Raw genomic sequence first — 4,128 nt, forward strand, 5'->3', positions numbered from 1 at the left:
AAGAGGCCCACTGTCTCCCACAGGCTGGAGGTTTGGGTAAGCATATGTTGCCTCAGGAGTAAGAATGCATCAGGAGTGTCTGCCACTTTTTCAAATACCTGGACTGTGGGTCCTGAAAAGACACAAAGAAGAGAAGGGAGAGCAGTGTGTGCTGGAGTTTTAGGGGAGGGGCCCTCAGAGTGGCCTTGGCAGTGGCAGTAGCCTGCCATCCATATGAGCTGGGGGCAGTGGAGTCAGGAAGGCACATGGCCCTCTACTTAGAGTACCTGGCCCCACAGGAAGAACGCTGTCATGGGACAGGTCAGGAACTTACGCGTGAGAACTCATAAATGGCTGGTCACTAAGATGAGCCTGGAATCAGGGTCTCTGTTTTTTAGCAAGGGTTTTTTTTTACCCCAGAGCAGGGGGTCTATAGGTACTTGCTGCATTGAGCTGATAAAGGCATCATAAAGGTTAGAAAGGAGACCCCTTCCCAGGGAGTCCAGAGGGCACAGCAATCCTGACCAGGGCCTGACTCAACTGCTCATGGCCCTGAGGCAGGGGTTGGCCTTGCAGCCCTGACCCATCCCTGTGGGGTCCAGCATCAGTCCCTGGCTCCAACTGGGTTCGTTCATTCCTTTAGCAGGATGAACTGCCCTGTCAAATGACCTGCCCCTTCAGGGTGGGGTGACAGGAAGAAAGAGTTTGGCTTTGAGGATTGGCTGCACAGATTAGCTGAGTGACCATGGACAATCCCAAACCTTTCTGAGTCAGAGATGCCTCCACTAAACACGTAAGTATTCTAAATGGCCTTTAAGGTTTGTCTTAGTTTGGAGTACTGCTATATCAAAGACCATTGACTAAGGGGCTTAAACAACAAACACTTTTTTTTTTATCATAGTTCCGAAGGCTGGGAAGCACAAGATCAAAGCTCCAGCAGATTCTATCTGGTGAGAGCTTTCTTCCTGGTTTGAGGGTAGCTGCCTTCCTGCTGTGTCTTCACACGGCAGAGAGCAGAGAGAGAGGAAGCTCTCTGGTGTCTCTTCTTATAAGGGCACTAATTCCATTCACGAGAACTCCACTTTCATGACCTAATCACTGCCCAAAGTCCTACCTCCTAATATCATCACTATATATATATATCAGATTTCAGTCTGTAGATATTGGGGGATCACAAACATTCAGTCAATGGCAAGAATTCTTCTGAGGTTCTAGGACACATTACTGAGCAAGGAAGTAAAGTTAAAGAAGTTAAGAGCTACATTTTTTCATCTGTAAAATGGGAATAATAGGACCTATATGTCTTAAATTTATTGTAAAGATGAGATGAGATAATATAAGTGCCCAACATAGTGCCTGACCCAGTGTAAGCCTTATAAATAGTGGTTATTGTTGTCCCTTCAGAATTGAACGAAGCAGCGGATTAGGATGGGAGACATATAAAAGAAGTATGGAATATAGTCCCTGCCCTCATGTTGCATGCAAATCAAAATGAGCACAGGTCCTTGGGTATAGACATCTCTTTCCAGGCTATGCTAAAATCAGCTGGCTTTCAAATAATTTTGTACAAGGCACGCCGTGTGTAAAATATGAGAACCAATGCTTGCCTTTGGGCTTACAGTGTCACCCAAGAGGAGGACACAACCAAACTGATACCACTGAGTGGCTAAAGAAATAAGAATAGAGTTCAGAGGAGGGAGGGGGCCAGGAGGACTTGAGCCAAGCACTCAGGATGAGTAAAAACTAGACACACCGAGAAGAGAGCTCAGCGAACCACCTCCCGGGGACAGGTGGTAAGACTGTGGTCCCGCAACATGGAGAGGAGAACCTAGTCTAGCCTGGTTCATTTGTTCAATTGTTTATACAAGTCATTGACGAAGGTGAGTGCTTTTTGACAAGCGCCACTATTAAACACTCAGTGAGGGTGGGGTGTAAAAATGAAAATGACATAGCCTTTGTCCTCAGGGGCATCTGCTTGAAAAGAGAAGTCAGACTCATACACAAGTGCCCTGCAAGGTGGAGAAGCACTCACAGAGACAAGTATAAACTGATGATGTACTTTGGAGGGAGTCACTCTCTCTAACTTGTCCCAGTGGAGCAGGGAGCAGCGGGGGGTTTGGTCAGGGAATGGGAATGGAAATGATAACTCACAGTTATTAAGTGTTTTCTATGTGCCCTAAGCCATCTCTCCATATTACCTCCTTTAATATGCATACCTGGGTAGGTGCTATCATTATCTCCATTTTACAGTTGAAGAAAAATTTTCAACAAGAATGGGGAAAATTGGTTCCCATATCTGGAAAGTCTAAGGTTAAAGCTGGTACAGTGGGGCAGAGGTTTCAAACAACACCGTCAGGGGATTTTCCCTTTCCTTGTCTGCTTTTTCTCTCTACTGCTGCGCTGCAGAGAGCCAGTGTTCCTGCTGCCTCCCTGTGTGGCTCCAAGAGAGCACCCAGTCCCCTGCCCTGCTAATACCATTTGTGTGCCTGCCTAACCCGCAGCCAGGACTCACGTGGGTTGCACAGAGCCTGTTGAAGGCCCATTTGCTCAACACATAATGGGGATTAGAATTCATTAATGCACTACAAATTAAAGTATTAATAACGGCCACAGAGTTTAAATGAGAGCCAGGGAAGGGAATCCGGCAAGGGGCCGCCCCGCCCGCATCTCCCACCTAGCTACATTGTTCCGGCACGGGCAATCCTGCGCTCTTTAATATGCTGTGACAGCCGCTGAAGTGACCCCAGACAATAAACAGGGCCTCCTAGTTAAGTATTAATCTGTCAAAAGAATGACCTTCATCCACTAAAGAAGGGATGTTTTTAAAAACCTCGCAAGTGGAGGAAGGCTCATTTGCTCGCTCATTTAGCATATTAAAAGGGTATTATTGCTACAAACAAGAAATCTAAATGAGGCCTGGGCAGGAGCTGCGGATAACACTCCTGATTAAAGGTGCGGGGTAATGATGAACACAGGAGGCTGAATCCGTTATTGTTCACCAACATGGCAGGACCTGGTTGCTGGGACGATAAGAGCATTGAGCCCTGGCTGGGGCCAGGCTCTCTCCATCAGAGAGGAGTGGAACATGATGAGCCGTTGGGGGGGCACTGCCCACCTTCACCCTGGGACATGAGAGCTACAGGAGGGGTGTCTGAGGTGACATTCGAGGAAGGGAGCCCAGACAATTCAAACAATTCCCTAGAGTGACCACAGTCTCTGTTTGTGTCTCTCAACCTTTGACTTGTTTACTTCCAGCTTCTCACGTTTCTGTTGGTCAATTCTGTAGACAGCCGTCCTTTCCCAAGAACCCAGGAAGTTCTCCCAGGGGCCAGCTCATGCTTAGTCTCAGGAGAAAGAGTTTGGCAGGGAGAGAAAGGATAGACATGATTGGTTTCTTTTCTTCTGGGGATAATAGCAAGGTCCCAGATGTCAGAGGGGAGGCTAGGTTGAGAAATTAGGTGTCTCTAACCCGTGACAGTCTGTCTAGGGAGGGGGCTCTTGGCGAAGCCATGAGCAAAGAGAGAAGAGAAATATGATTGAGGGAAAGAAACAAAGAGATACAAACACAAAATTCCAATGCAACAAATATCTGCGGGAAAAGGAGCTCTGCCATGTGTCTGATTCCACAGTAGATTACATGGGAGGAGAGGTAACCAAGAGGTAGATCTTTCCCTAGGGACTTGCCCTGTATGCAGGGAGTCTGGGATGACTCATATGAAACCAAAAGGCATGAAATAAGGTTTGAAGAACAAGGAATATTTAATGATTGATAAGACGAAACAGTGGCAAAATTAGAGAATTTAAAAGGAGATTTGAATTATCCTAAGAGCTAATGGCACTTAAACATTTATCTCTGGACTGTTCGCTCCTTGAGGACAGTGACTTTGTTCGGTTCATCTCTATGTTCCCATTATCCAGAACAGTTCCTGACACACACAAGATGCTTGTGGTGGGGACAATGCTATTTGTTCTCCACACTGCTCCCTCTTCCTGGGATAAAACATAGAAATATTTCTCAGCCTTGGAGCTCGCTTGGAGCTAAATTGGAAGCATATGACTAAGTTTTCACAAATGGAAACATGAATAGATGTTTGGACCTTCTGGTCCAAGGTATGAAGGCATGGACCTCACCTATCTCTCTCTTCCCTT

At 46.5% G+C, this 4,128-nt stretch overlaps 1 annotated feature.

Moving 5' to 3' along the window:
- Positions 1 to 1,200: an enhancer, noted in NCBI's record as "CDK7 strongly-dependent group 2 enhancer chr11:114757957-114759156 (GRCh37/hg19 assembly coordinates)". NCBI's record gives its function as "activates an origin of replication core promoter dependent on BRD2, BRD4, P300/CBP, MED14 and CDK7 cofactors, with strong dependence on CDK7, by STARR-seq in HCT116 cells {active_cell/tissue: HCT116}" and the evidence as "EXISTENCE:reporter gene assay evidence [ECO:0000049][PMID:35650434]".

The sequence above is a fragment of the Homo sapiens genome, chromosome 11 (assembly GCF_000001405.40).
Source record: "Homo sapiens chromosome 11, GRCh38.p14 Primary Assembly".
Taxonomy (NCBI): domain Eukaryota; kingdom Metazoa; phylum Chordata; class Mammalia; order Primates; family Hominidae; genus Homo; species Homo sapiens.